Source organism: Homo sapiens, chromosome 4 (genome assembly GCF_000001405.40).
Source record: "Homo sapiens chromosome 4, GRCh38.p14 Primary Assembly".
Taxonomy (NCBI): Eukaryota; Metazoa; Chordata; class Mammalia; order Primates; family Hominidae; genus Homo; species Homo sapiens.
Window position 1 is genome coordinate 93,290,103 of NC_000004.12, and position 16,329 is coordinate 93,306,431.

At 36.0% G+C, this 16,329-nt stretch overlaps 1 protein-coding gene across 18 annotated transcripts in view, besides 1 other annotated feature; it reads left to right on the forward strand.

Annotated features, from left to right (window-relative positions):
* Window positions 1-16,329, forward strand: part of GRID2 (glutamate ionotropic receptor delta type subunit 2) — a 1,506,491-nt gene that overhangs the window by 986,137 nt on the left and 504,025 nt on the right. The window lies entirely within an intron of this gene.
* Window positions 10,873-10,972: an enhancer, noted in NCBI's record as "active region_21726". NCBI's record gives its function as "activates an Ori minimal core promoter by ATAC-STARR-seq in GM12878 lymphoblastoid cells {active_cell/tissue: GM12878}" and the evidence as "EXISTENCE:reporter gene assay evidence [ECO:0000049][PMID:35858748]".

Consider the following 16,329-nt stretch of genomic DNA (forward strand, 5'->3'; position numbering starts at 1 on the left):
ATCACTTACAGGTTTAAAATCTGGCAAAACTGCCCGGTAGTTCATAAAAATGACAATCTCTTTACAGTATGTTAAAAATAAATTTCATGTTCAAGTTCCTCAATGTAGCTAAAGGACTGATACTAATGTTCGGTTTAGTAGGAGCAATTCTGTGCCATGTGATTGCTTATGAGTGCGTGTTTATGAGTGTGTTTGGGGTAGAAAGAGGTGTTCGGATAGAGCTGGGGTTTTAGGAGATGATTCTGATTTTTAACAGAGATTTCTCTGGAAAAATTAGAAAAAATTTTAAAAAATTAGAAACTTCATGATATCTAGAGGTCACTAAAATCTCAACCTTTGCTTATACCTATGTTTATATTTCATCTTTAATGTCAGGTGATGACATCAAGTGATTTATTTTTCATTTTTCTTTTTTGTACTTTTGGCTTTGTTCTTATATTTCTTTAACACTTTAGTAAGAGTCATCTATGCATGCATTTTTATATTTATTCTCTCTTGAACACACCTACACAAAAAGTTACATAAATGAGATTAAATATTATGTGTTTTTATCTGGTAGTATTTGTGGTTTTGTTGTTCTTCTTTCTTTTTTCTTTTTTCATCCCATCAGCATCCCTTCTCTTATTCTTGGCTTCTATCTTGGTCATTTTTTGTCCACAGTAACATTTTCAAATAATATTCTGTGTTTTGCAATTCTGAATACTCTGAACACAGGGTAAGATGCTTCATTTATATCTTACCATCAAAGGGTTCAAAAGCATACAAGTTACTTTTTTTTTTTTTTTTTTTTTTTGAGATGGAGTCTTGCTCTGTCGCCCAAGCTGGAGTGCAGTGGCGCGATCTCCGCTCACTGCAAGCTCCGCCTCCCGGGTTCACGCCATTCTCCTGCCTCAGCCTCCTGAGTAGCTGGGACTACAGGCGCCCACCACCAAGCCCAGCTAATTTTTTGTATTTTTAGTAGATACGGGGTTTCACCGTGTTAGCCAGGATGGTCTCGATATCCTGGCCTCTTGATCCGCCCACCAGATCCAAAGTGCTGGGGTTATAGGCGTAAGCCACCGTGCCCGGCCGGCATACAAGTAATTTTTAAAATATTTTATATATATGTAGCTACAACCTCTAGAGCATTACATCATTTCATCTTTCTCATTCCCTATTTGATCTTATGTCAAAAAGCATCAGGCCAGAGGATAGGCTTTAGGGTCAAGGGACAAGGTTGCAATTTTGATTTTGCCATGTAATAGGGGTTTAGTTTAGTTTGGGCAAGTTATTTAGCATTACTAAACTATAATTCATAATATGAGGAAAGCAGTAGGACTTTCTACTTGGTTTTGTTAGAATTAAGTGGTCATCACAGTGTCTGACGTATAGTAAACACTATATATTAATCCAATTACAATTTTCCAAAACTAGGTTCAAAAAGTGAATTAATTAAAAAATACATAATTGTGTGGCAACTAAGATAAACTACTAGTGGGCTTTTTAACACTGATAAAGATCACTTGGCTTTCCAGATGCTTTAAATAGGTTAAAACTGAGAAGCATGTAAATCCAAGTATATACTTATTTTGTTAGTGTGACAAACTCATAGATTTTGTATATCCTCTCTTCAACATACCCTGCCTCAAGATGGCCTTTGTAAATTTGTTTATGTGTGTGCACGTGTTTTCTTTTTTCTTTTTTCTTTTTTAATTGACAAAAATTGTATATATTTATTATGTAAACATGATGTTTTGAAATATATATATGTCATGGAATGGCTGCATCAAATTAATTAGCATATGCATTACCACACATAGTTGTCATTTTTGTGATGAGAACACTTCAAATCTACTTTATTGGCATTTTTCAAGAATACAATATATTGTTATTAATTATTATGTAAAGTTTTATTGTTACTCATAAGATGGTTGAAATGGGGCCAAGAGAGCACCATGTGATATGATGGTGATAAGTCACTTATTCCACAAGATGCTGCTCAGAAATTGTTTTTGCTCTTGGTGATTAAGGACTTGTGATTTTACATACTCAGAGGACAAATTTGAATGAAACTTATGTTGTACAATTCATCTGGTGTTTGCTGTAGTAAAAATTTGTAGAGGAATAGCTGCAGTCCTTCTCCCCATATCTTCTGGCATAAATATAAGGGGCTGGGGTACTGTCTTCCCCATAGTCCTCAGCCCTGTGTCTTGCACATTATCTATGCTCTACTGAGGAGGTACTATGTGCTCAGCATGCTGCTTGACACTGTGGACCATTTAAATACCAGGAGAAATTTAGAGGTTTGGTAATAGAAAAAGATACAGGCTATGAACAGAACTAAGAAGTAAGGGGTCACAGAAGGTAAAGTCTTCCTTCTGTTATTGAGGGAAAACATAGCTATTCTTTTAGGCCCTTTTCTTTCCCAGGTAGAAACTCTGAAGTTACAACAAAGCTGGGGACAATTTTTGAACTCATATAAATTTGTGCCAGCAACTAAATGAGTTTTGCTGTTCAAACAAAAAATGCCAGTCACTCCATTCTTGCCACCAAACTGTACATAGTGAGAGGTTTTAAAGACTTAAGTTATAAATTTTAAAAATAGTGGTTTTTATCTTAAAATTATGTTGGCCTTTCTGAGATTTAAAACTGCCACATTGTTAAGAAAGAGACCATTACTGAAACATAAAGTTTGGCTTGCAAGTTCACAAGTCCTTTCTCTGCTTCCTTTCCTCCTTAATATAGGTCCCCTGAGCTACATTGGAAGGTGTAATCTTCTCTCTTAGAACTGTATAAATACAGTAAGCCCCAGTAAAAACAGACGGTTGGTGTGATCATTTTTAACAGCCCCGGAGATGTCCATATGCTATTCAGTAATGTGGCATCTGCATAGCCCTTTAGCTGTGGAGTGTACTTTAAACATAAGCAATTTTTAAGCAACAAGGTGTCAAACTATTCATCCATGTGAAGCAAATCAGTCCTGCTGCACCCCTGAGTACAATCAGTGAAAACCCTTAGAGTGCTCTTAACCACCCATCCTCCCCAGGTGCACGGCATGTTCTTTTAATACAGTTACATTATTGTGCCTCCAAGTCAGAAAAAAAATTGTGAGGTAAAATATTCATTCAATTAACACTGGAGTCACTAAGTCACTACTGTGCTGGTGTTCTCCACCAGTCACAGGAGCATTTATGTGGCTGGACAGCTATCTACATCCGCTCCCATACAGTTATACGCTGCTGAGTCTAATCGAGGCACATTCAATACTAATAAGTAAAAATAAACTTTATGGAATAAGAGAAATTTAACGAAGTTAATTATAAAAATGTTCAAGACAAAAATAAGTGAATTAAAGGCAAAATAAGTGAATTCTTTAGTCTTGAATATCTAACTGAAACAAAGTGTTACAGTGTTGTTCTAAGACCTCTCTTTTTTAATCCTCCTCCATCCTTAGACCTTTAACATCAAGCAGACTAAAAAGAGATCTAATAGGTAGTCATATATCCCGAAAGACACATTATTGAAAAAAAAAAATGCCTACAAAGTAGTTGTTGCCAAAATAATTTGCGGGAAATCAACCCAATAAGCAACACTACAAAAATAAGATAAAAAATGGCTAGCCTCTCAAGGTGTTTTTGGCTGTGTTATTAAATGTTCTTTTATTTGTTCATATTGGCTTATGGATCCACCCAATCATAAGCCAAAGCTCACTCAGTCATCCATTCATTCATGTACTATTTATTGCGTGCCTACTATGTGCCAGGCACTGTACTAGACCCCAAATGATATGGCAGTGAACAAAAAATGCTTGGTATTAAGGAACTTATATTCTAGTGGTAGGAGACAGAAACTAAGTGAACACATAACATATCATGTACTGATCACAGACGGCGATTATGCTGTGGGGAGAAGTAAAGCAGGGACAATGGATAGTGAATAGATGAAGGGAAAGTCATTATAATTTTGACTAGAATTAACATGGATGACATTGTTGATGAGGTGATACTGGAGCATATGACTGAGATAAAAGTAAAGGAACAAGCTATGTGGGACTAGGACATGGGTGAAGTGAGCAGAGGAGGGATCAATAAATTCCAAATCCTTGCATTTTCCTTGTTTGCTCCACAAAAAAACGAAAAGATGAGTGTGGTTGTGTCTCAGGGAGGCAGAAAAAGAGTGGCAGGAGTTGAAATCAGCAGTGGAGGTGATCCATATCAGGCTAGTCATTGAAGGAACTTTGGCTTTTACTCTAAATCAAGAAGCTTCCAGATGGTTTGGAGCAGAAGAATGTTGTAATTTTATTTATGTTTTACAAGGATTGCTAACTAGCCTATGGAGAATAAATGATGCATTTGTATGTGTGTATGTGAGAGAGAGAGAGTGTGTGTGTGTGTACACACACATGGCAGCAAGGACAGAAGAAAAAACATCTAGGATATTAATGCAATAAGTAAAATATTATGGCACTTTGTTTTTTGATTCTGTTTGCTGGTTTGTGACAGAGTCTCACTCTGTTGCCCAGGCTGGAGTGCAGTGGTGTGATCTCGGCTCACTGTAACCTCCACCTCTCAGGTTCAAACAATTCTCCTGCCTCAGCCTCCCGAGTAGCTGGGATTACAGGCACGTACCACCATGCCCAGGTAAATTTTTGTATTTTCAGTACAGATGGAGTTTTGCCATGTTGGCCAGGCTGGTCTCGAACTCCTGACCTCAGGTGATCGGCCCGCCTCAGCCTCTCTAAGTGCTGGGATTACAGGCATGAGCCACCGTGCCCAGTTCGTACTTTGGAACAGGGTAGGAGAAAGTGTCCCTGTTTGTGATAACTTTCAAAAATAGAGTTCCTTTATTTGTTAATTTATCGGATAGGGTGTGAAATAAAGGGAGAAGTAAAGTATGGTTTCAAGATCCTGGCCTGAGCAACAGGAAGGACAGGTGTCCTTTACTAAGAAAGGGAAGACTGAAGAAGATGAGAAATCCAGATTTAGACAGAAATCTAAAGATATTAAATCTTATGTTAAAATGCCTAGTAAAAGCCTAAGGTGGAGATGCAGGCAACTGGGTGAATAAAATGAAAGTTTAGGGAAGGGATCCAGGCTGGAGATTAAAAATAAATTCAAAGGGATCAGCACATGGGGAAGATTTAAAATAAATCATGGAGTGAGTGAAATCGAGAAAAACGAGGTCCAAATGTGGAGTCTTGGATTTTCCAACATTAAGAGGTAAGAAATATGAAGATAAAAGAGTACAGGAGACTGAAAAGAAACAGCTGTTCAAATAGGAGTAAAGCCAGGAAAGTGTGATATCCTCAATGCCAAATGTATCAATCGGGGTTCAACCAGAGAAACAGAAGTAGTAGTAAATGTATATTAAGATATTTATGCAGAGAATTGGCTTATCAGATTAGGCAAATCTGAAATCTGCAGGGCAGGCTGTCAAGAATGGCAGGCTGGAATTTTTGGGGATGAGTGAAGGATACAGTCCACAAGTGGAATTATATCTCCTCTTCCTCCTCCTCCTCCTCCTCTCCCCGCTCCTCCTCCTCCTCCTCTTCATCCTTCTCATTTTTCTTCTTCAGACATTCTCAGTTTTGATATTAAGGCTGTTCAACTGATTGAATCAGACCCATCCAGATGATCTTGGATAAAGTCTCTCTTTTAATGTCAATTATTTATAGGCTTTAATGACATTTTCACAAAAACACTGAGATTGGCATTTTATTGGATAACTGGGACTATATCCTAGTTGATACATAAAACTGACCATCACACCAACTAAAGGATAAATGGAGGGAATGATCAACCACGTCAGATAGCATAGCCTTGAGTATGTTGGATTTAGCTGCTAATTCATTTGTGAATTTGACTACAGCAGATTTTTATTTTGGAATAGAGCTGTATTTGTTTCCTATGGCTGTCCTAATAAATTACCACAAAAATAGGTAGCTTGAAATAGCAGATATGTATGCTTTCACAGTTCTGGAGGCCAGAAGTTTAATACTGGGGTTTCACTAGGTTGAGATAATGGTGTTGGCAGGCCATAGTCCGTCCAGGGCCTCTAACCTGCCTCTTCCAGTTTATTGTGGCTGCCATGCATTTGTTGGTGGCCACTCAAATTCAATCTGTACCTTTATTTTCACATTGCTCCTCTTTTCTTGTGTATATCAAATCTCATCTACCTCCCTCTAATAAGGAAATGTGATTGGATTTACGGATCCCCCCCTCCCACCCCACAGATAATCCAAAATAATCTCCCATGTCAAGATCCTTAATTTAATCCCATCTGTAGAGACCCATTTTCCTTGAAAGATAACTTATGGTTCCACATGGTATCTCTAGGTGGCTATCTTTCAGCCTACTACAAGAAGCAAAGCCTAACTGAAGTGGATCCAGGAAAGGTACCTATTTCAGAATGTTTCTGTAAAGGTGAGCAAAGAAAGAGAGCAGCAGCTGAGGCAAGGGTGGGAACTGTATCTCCCAGTCAAACTCACAGAACTTCCTTCTTTTACATGCAAACATCCAACAAACAAACATATATGATTACAGTTTCATATATTTCACTCTCTGGCCATGTATATCTATTCATTTCTGTTACATGTTTAACCAAACCACTTATGGTAGGTTAATTTGATTATTTTGCATTGAAAAAGAAACTTGAATGAATCTGACCAGCAAGAGATAGTTTCCTGAGTCTAAATACTTTTTGACAATTTTGTTATTTTGTTTTTACCTTTGTCTACAAGGGTAAGTCGTTGTTCTCAAAAATCACAGTGAATAAATTTTCAAAGCATTGCATACATTTGTCCAGTTTGACTTACAAGTCAAATCTCTTATATCTGAATGTGATTCCCCCTATATTGTATTCCAAAACTTTGAATTACTTTACTATTACATTCTTTAAAAACATATATTGGTATTGTCAATTAAAAAACCAATTCCCATGTGCTTGTCTCTTTATTTGCTTTCCAAATCATTTAAGCCCTGGTCATATCTATGGCATACATTATAAAAAGATCAGAGGGAAAAGAGAGATGATAGAAAAAAGTCTTACTTTTTTGTCCTGTAATCCATGACAAGGTCAAGGAAACTTATTCTGAATTCCCATTTCTATTACGCATGGGCTGTCTGACATAGTAGGCATCAAGAGCAGTACGTGATACATGTGTAGGTGCTCAATAAATATTGATGAATGAATAAGTAAATGAACAATAAAATTACCGATAAGACCTTTTATGTTATGTTTATTATTCTATCGCCATTAAAGGCATTTATAAGCATCATAATTTTTAACTGGCATATATATATGAAAATGTATCCTTTTATATGAAAAAAGAGTAATTACTCATAGGATTGATATAGTGTAGCAGCTTAAAAGAGAATATTTCTTTTGAGGAAAGCATATGGTCAAAGATCTTGTCTGACAGCATTTGGCTGCACAGTGAAATTCGGGCTCTGCAATGAGACATGCTCAATGTAGTGATCCCTAATCTGGGCTTTTTTAGATTTATAATCTTGAAGTAATTATTTTATCTATCTACTCATCTGGAAAACTGGGCTATCTATTCCATATGATTTTGTTAATTAATAATGGTATTGCATATAAAGGGCCTAATGTTGTGCCAGCTACATAGTATTGGCTAATATCATGATCATGATCACAGGCAAATATCTTTTCTTCAGGTTTGATAGTACAACTTGTCTTTTTAACTTTTTATACATAAATATTATTCTCTTTCACTTGACCAATTTTCTGTACAAAATTTATTTAAGAACCCCTTAAAATTCACTTAGGAAATCAGATGGAGCATACATAGGAAGTATATAACACAATATTATCAGATTCTGTTCACTTTCTTTTGCTTTTTTTCTATACTGTACCATGTGCAGATAATCAATTGTTATTTAAGTCCTAGACTTTGGCTCTGGAATCCAGATCCCCTTATCTAATTACCTTCTTGGGTTTACCACATGGATACTTTAAAAGCAGTATGTTTAATAATGCTTTTAGGATATTTCCACCCCATCTTTGCCCAAATATGGTCCTTGTTAGTCTTCCCTGTTCAGCAAACACCATCATCATCCATCTAACTGGGCAAACCATGAATCTAGCAGTTGTTCTTGATGTCTCCTTCTTCCTCAGTCTCTGTCTTAGTTAGTTCAAACTATTATAACAAAGTGCCATAGGCTGAATGGCTTATAAACAACAGAAATTTATTTCTCACAGTTCTGAAGGCTGAAGTCTAAGATCAGGAGGCCAGTGTGGTCAGGTTCTGGTGAGGGTCCACTTTCAGGTTACAGACCGCCAACTCCTGGCTGTTCCCTCAAATGCCACAAAGAGCACTAGCAAGCTCTCTATGGTCCCTTTTAAAAGAGGCTAATTTCATTCATGAGGGCTTCACCTAAATCACCTTGACCTAATTTACCTCCCAAAGACCCTTTTAGCACAATCACATTGGTGGGTAGGATTTCAGCATATGAATTTTGGGTGGATACAAACATTCATTACATAACACCCTCCATGTCCAACTTCTCACAAAGATATTCTCTCTAAATAAGCCATCCTCAGAATTTACTCCAACCCTTCTTCAAATTTCAGCTTAATCACCATTTCTTGAGGAAGCCTCCCCTTACTGTTCCTCCTCCCTGTCTCCAGTGCAGATCTTCCTGACATATCTTCTTAATTCCATGTACCTTTGCTTTGCAGCAATTACAGAGGTAACTTTCACATTAACTTTTGAAATGATTTGATTTATGTTTATCTAAGATTCTTTGAAGATACATGGCATCTGCTTTTGCTCATCATTTTATCTTCAGAAGCTAGGGTTTTTCAAAATGTCAGTTGGGACTCATTAGTGAGTAATGAAATGAGATTAATGGGTAATATGCAGTATTTTTTCTTAATGAAATAGGCTAAAATAAAATAAACTTTTGTCAAAGAGAAAAAATGTAGTTATGATAGAAAAATAAAGGCAGCCAATAAAGAATTTGTTTTCAAACAAGTCACTGCTATAAGGAATTGGAATGTAATCCTACAGGGAACTCTGGAAGGCAGCATAGAATTCATTTAGGTTCTGTACCTGACAACTTTCAATCAGTCGTGGGCTATTCCCAGAACCTTTAATTCTCAGGCACTCGTAGCCCACTATGCATTCAGGTAGTTCAGGCCCTGAGGAAAATAGATACAGATACTATTTGTATCTACATATAAATGCAGTAGAAAGGCAAGGCCTGAGGAAGTTACAGTAAGGGCAAGAAGTAGGGAGGAGACTTAACCACAAACTGGCTGTTTTAGGTTTCACTTTATGAATTCAATTTAAATGAGTATGTAAGCGCATTTTGCTGTTTGAAACGGGGAAAAAAAAGTCTTAGTTGAGTGATCTCCGTTTAATTATCTTTCTCTGATAAGAATTGAATCTGAACAATGAGAACACATGGACACAGGAAGGGGAACATCACACACTGGGGCCTGTTGTGGGGTGGGGGGAGGGGGGAGGGATAGCATTAAGAGATATACCTAATGTTAAATGATGAGTTGATGGGTGCGGCACACCAACATGGCACATGTATACATATGTAACAAACCTGTACGTTGTCCACATGTACCCTAGAACTTAAAGTATAATAAAAATATATATATAAAAAAAGGATTAAATCTGGATTTCTTTAACCTTCTCCTCTTGCAATCTGTATTTTTAAATCATTGAATTATTTTCAAGGTATTTAATTATTTTATTCCTTTGTATTGTGCCTTCTGTAAGAGTCCCAGATATTTAAGGCATAAGAATACAAGTATGCTTCATGCATACACATAATATTAGAAGATAACTGCAAATTTCCCTTGTTATCTACAGCAGATTGTTTCTAGGACCTCTGCAAATACCCAAATCTGCAGATGCCCAAGTCCCTTATTTAAGATGAAGTAGTATTTGCATATAACCTACATGCATTCTCGTGTACACTTTAAATCATCTCTAAATTATGTAAATAGTTGCTATACAGTATTTGTTCTTTATTTGTATTATATTTCTCTTTCTCTTCCTTTTGTGTGTGTGTGATGGGGTCTCCTTATGTTGCCCAGACTGGTCTCAAACTCCTGGGTTAAGTGATCATCTCTCAGCCTCCTGAGTTTGCTGGGATTACAGGCAGGTACTCCCATGCCTGGCATATTTTTCATTGTTGTGTTGCACATATATATTTGAAATCTTTTTGATCCATAGTTATTGAATCTGCAGATATGGAACCTGTGAATATATTAGGGCTGACCCCATCAAGGGTCAAGATATAATAAAATTAATAATGTTCACTATTTCTTCAAGGACATTCTTAAGTGAACTTAGCTTTTATTTTCTTTCATACTAGCAGTGTTAAGTAGTGAAGAATGCAGTGTCCACCAGTAAAGTCTGTGCCCAGCCTTGATCTGTGTTGAGGTACAGCACTTTTACCCATGTCAGCTTTTGCTCCATCAGTACAAATATCAACATAGTGAAGGCAAATATATCTTACTATTATTAGGAAAAATATTTGGCCTTGAAGAACTCCAAAAAGTCTTGGGGTGACACTTTGTGGACTATTGGCCCATAATACTGTAGCAGGACGAGCCGCAGACAAAACCTCTCAGACACCGAGTTGTAGACGGTAGGGCTTTATTCAGCTGGGAGCATTGGCAAGCTACTGCCTTAAAATCCGAGCTCCCCAAATGCACAATTTGTGCCCCTTTTAAGGGCTCACAACACTAAAGATTTCACATGAAAGTGTTGTGATTGATTTGAGCAAGCAGGCAGTACGTGACAGGGGCTGCATGCACCGGTGGTCAGAGAGAAACAGAACAGGGCAGGGAGTTTCACAGTGTTCTTCTACACAATGTCTGGAATCTATGAATAACATCAGTTTCTAAGTTATGAGTTGATTTTTAACTACTGGGTTTAGGCCAGGCAGGCCCAGGCCTGTTTTCGGGCCTGACACCGGGCTGCCTGTCTTTGGTTTTACTGCCTTGTTGTTTTTTCTTAAAACAGGTACTGAGTATAAAACAATATAAAACAATATGAGAAGGTCTCTCTCTTCCCTCAATACACAAATTTTCTAAACATATATATGAAGCATTTTATAATAGGAAACAAACGTTATCATTTTAAGAAGATATTAAATGTTTAATTGTAAACTGTCTTTACTTCCCAAATAAGCTCTTTTTGACATACCATTTATCAATTTATCTAAACTAGTCTTTAAAAAGTGTTTATATATTTAACCTATAATTATGTGGGGAGTAACAAGCTCCACACTGTGGGACTTCCTAAATTAAAAAGTAGTTATTTTCTCATATTTTTTACTTTCAAGTTTAAACTGGGATTCGTTAAAAGTTAACATGAAGAACAACATATTATGAATTAGTAAAGAGACTAAAAGCATTATGTAGTTTTAAACATCTCTTGCCTTTTGGAATCATTTCTACACTAAAGAAAACAGATGTTAATGATGATAATATCAAAAAAACAGAAATGGTGATCATCATCATATTAGGCTTGTTTTAAAACAGTAACTGTTTAATTTGAAGATTCCATTTTGTGGTTTATCAAAGTACCACACAAGTTATTTTTATGCTTAGTTACATAATCCTACGTATTGTGGGTCAGTGCTTACGATATCAGCAAAGTTATTTAATATATTTACAATGTCTCACATTATCCACCTATTTATTATTGAATTAGAGTGATTACAGCCACTTCATTTTGTTTTGTTGTTGTTTTGAAATGTGTTCTGATAAAAGGAGGTTCATTTTGATCGTCAACCAGAAAACAAAACATGATAAAATAAAAATAAAACTCAGGAAATTCGACAAATTTCTTGAGAGCCACCTACATAAGGCATTTTGTAAGAAGCTATGAAGTATACAAAGATGTCGCTAAGTAACCTGTAATCTAGTAAAGATAATTACACTGTAGTGTATAAGAGGAACTATGAAACACACCAATAAAATCTTATGAGAGCTCAGAGAAGGGAAAAATTACTTTCAAAGAAGAAAAAATATGTATTTTCCCTTAAATGATAAAATTTGTTCTTATGTTTTTGCTTTCAACCATTCTTTAACCATCAGATTTTTTCAATTCTCTTATCTTCGCATTATTAAACATTTTATACATGCTGTTCAAAGTATTATTATCAAGTACAGTACAGGCTTCTAAAAATATGCTAAAGCCAGATGTAAACAGTTGAAACAGTTGCAATACTGTCTTCTCTATAGGAAATAAATATAGGTAATCAGTGAATAAAGCTAGAATTTTAAACCGTTTACTTGGAATAAACTGTGGCTGAAAGCCCCATGGGCCGCATGAATACAGCAGCCAGGGGTCTTCAGAAGGTCCTGTATGCCAGTTATGCCCCATCACTAACAGGCAGAGTAACTCTCACTGAGCAATGCGAACATAATATTCATGTTTTCCACTTATAATGTTTAATTTGTGTAATACACATACATATGTACGCACAACTGAAAAATTTGGAATTACAGGTAAACTTCATTTTCAAGTAATTTGACCATTCATATACATTCATCTTCTGTACACTTGCAAAGGTAAGTATAAAAACCTAATTTTCTGTGGCAGTTTCATAGGCTACTTTATTGAAAGTGGCTATTATGCCTGTTTCCTATTTTATGCTCATTTCCTAATAAAACCAACAATATATCCAACTACACAGTATTTTAAAGAGAGACTAATTATAATGATTACTATTGTAAGAAAGTGATTCTACATGAATATTTCCATGTTTCTGTAGAGCCTGGGCTTTTTTAGCAAAAGCTGATGAAACTTGGTTAAAGAATGTATATTAGTCCATTTCTCACATTGCTGTATAAACAACTACCTGAGACTGGGTAATTTTAAAGAAAAGAGGTTTAATTCACTCACAGTTCTGCAGGCTGTACAGGAAGCATGGCTGGGGAGGCCTCAGGACACTTACATCATGGAGGGAGGCAAAGGAGAGGCAGGCATGTCTTACGTGACCAGAGAAGGAGGAAGAGGAAACAGGGGGAGGTGTTACACACTTTTAAACAACCAGATCTTGTGAGAACTCACCCACTATCATGAGAACAGCAAGGGAGAAATCCACCCCTATGATCCAATCACCTCCCTCCAGGCACCTCCTCTAACACTGGGGATTACAATTCGACATGAGATTTGGGCAGGGACATAAATCCAAACCATATCAGAATGACTGAATATCAAAATATGTCCTAGAAGCTACAAACGGAGCATTGTTCCAGAGAGATTTACAAATATATCTTCCCCAGAGCCATTCATTTATATTCCAGTGTGATAGAGAGAGAACTTCCCCTCCAATTTCCAGAGAATTGTTTACATTCTAGAGTAGGGTCCTTGTCATTCTTGGGGTAGGATGGGCTGATATGCCACTGTCCTTCGTGGGCTTCAAGTCTCATTCTCCTGTTTAACACCACTACTAGCATTGAGTAATATCAGGCTCTCATCACATCACCTTGTGGTGATCAGGGCGCAGGAGCCAATGCTAAGGTGCTGTGTGAATAATAAATGCTCTGTTCTCTGATTCATAGACTCATGTTTCCTGTCAGGGTATCTGTCTGCCTCTGTGTGTTTTTTTGTTTATGTATCCATACACCTATCCATCTATCTGGTTAGCCAGCAATCCATTCTACCATCCATCCATCCATCCATCTAAACTTACCAACTATGACTTACAGAACTGGTTTAGATTACTCATACATCTTATGAGTTTCTTCTCTTCTTAGCTTTATCAAACAACACTCAAGCTATGACAATTGAAATGGTATTACCATTTCATAAAACAAATATTGCTTTTTAATTTTTACAAATTTTATCTGAGGATTTTAAAAATAATACTTCTCTGAGTATACTAATTGAATTATATTTTTCTTTTCTCATTGCTTATATTGCATTCTCATTCACCAACCTCAGAATTATTATTAAATATTGCAAAGCAAATATTTTAAAAAGTACTTTAAAGGAAATTTTTAAAAATATATATTAATACTTACACTGATCCACTTAGAAGAAATACATATCAATTACACTGATCCACTTAGAAGAAAACCTGTGTACTTAACTTTATTTTCGTAAAATCTGAAATTTAATTTAAAATCGAGAACTATTTTTTTAAATTAAGACAATACTTTGGAAATAATATTTTAAATATATATATATATATATATATAAGAGAACCCACTGTTATCTATGTTACATTAACCTGGAATTTACTATATCAAGGAAATTGTAGAAAAAGAATGCAGTGGAGAGAGAGTTAAAACACTAGTCAAACAGACAAGACAACACCACAAATATAGGATTTTTACTAGAGGTGCTTTTTTCCCCCCTTAGGAAAAGTATGGCTTCTCTTTGGGAAAATTGAGATTGGTCACACTTCAGAGCCTTTGATAAGTACTTTGATGTTCAATAAGAATGAAAAAAACAATGTTGCTTTTGCAAAGAGAATCAAGAAAATAATACCAGTTTCAGCAAAAGAACATTGTTTTGTGTACTTTAACACACACTACAAGGAATGTAAAGAGGCCCTTTTTATTAAACTGGGGAAAACATTTTTTGCTTAAAAACAAATAGGACACCAGTAGAAAAAAAAATTAAACTAAAACAAAACAGCATGCTTATTGCTTTGTGTGTAATAGGTAGCAAATATTTTTTTAATTGAATAGAAGGAGTGCAACAAATAAAAAGCTACATAGAGGATACCATTTTACTGGAAGGCCAAATCGTGTCCTTCTAGTAAAAATGTATAGTTAACAGAGAGTGCAATTTGATGTGTGAATAAATGAATTATTTTGCAAGAAGAGATATTTTGCTAAATTTGAACAATGACATCCAAGAAATGAGATTTCTTTGTTGTTCTGCTGGGTTTTTCTTTTAATGTAATTTTGACAATTTTGATTAAATGTCCAAATTCATAATGTGATAAATTATTGTGGATGCAAAAATGTTAGTAAAATATTTTTAAGAGTTTTAATGAACCTGGTAGATTTAGACAGTAATAGAGTTCTGTGACTCCCCAAAATGAGGGGACTTGCCTCTTGATATCAGGGAGGAAATCATGGGGCAAAGCTCATAGAAATGACAGCTGTAGCTAAGAGCACCTTTCTCCTCTAAAGCTGACTGCAGAACAAAAGGTTAAATGTAGTTGTCAAGTTTATAGACAGGGAAATACTTGTAGTAAAGTGAAAGTAAACAAGCATTTAAAAAGCTTCAAAGAGAGTCAAATCCACAATTCGGGGTGATTTGGATGAATTTCTCTAATATGCTAATCTGCATGGACTAAGTCCATGGGTTAGAGGAAAGATAAGCTGAATTTAGGGTGAAGGGGATAGGAACCTCTGGACAAAGGGACAACTTTGGCTGATGATGCTTAGGGTAGAGTAAGGATAGTTTTAGGAGGTTCTTTCAATATTGAGAGAGGTTTAATTGAAGAATATGCAAACCAAACTAGTGAGATTATGAAAAAGAGTTCCTAGAAATAGCACAATTGTTTGGGTAGGGAAATATTGGACAGAAAAAGAATATGGAAACAATGCAAGAATCGTTGGAATTTAGAGTGCAAATAAAAAGAATAATCTGAGGACCAAGTAAAGGCTGGTTAAACCAAGTCAATGGAACAGGAGCAGCCAGCATAATTTCTTATTAAATAGTTTGGATGGTGTATCAGGCCTTTATTGCCTCTTGCCTGGATTATTTTAACAATTTTCCCATGAAGTTGTCTGCCTTGGACATAATACATCTCTGATCTATATCCATTAGACTACTTCCAGAGTCAAAAGTCTATAAATCACAAGTTAACGATCTATGTGATTCAATGGCCAAATCCTCACGCTTCCCCATCTGAAATTAATTCCCATAGGACTCTACTTGGATTTCTATTTCCATAACTAAATTACCTCAACATACACTTGTTACCTGATTATATACATGTCTGCAGCATGAAGTTGGAAACTTTGTTAACGTTACGATTTTTCTTTTCAATGTTTTTTTCTTTTTCTTAGTTTGCCAAACTAAAGCACAGCAGAACAACAACAAAATGTTCTTTCCCTGAAACAGAGAGAGCCCAGGCTAAGCCAGAGATAACAAGGAGTTGAGACTACCAAAAGAATGCTGACTTCTAAAGGTTGGGCTAAGAGAAGAGCTTTTATGTTTAGGTAGAAACAGGATGCTGATTTTAAAAAAACTTCTTCATTCATTAAACATTTTCCAGATGTGAGATTGCTCATTTCATTCGTCTCAGAAGCTTATTAAATTCCCCTACACTATGTTGGAAATTGATTTTCACTTCTGGAATACAGTGATCTGGAGGCAGAGATGTGACA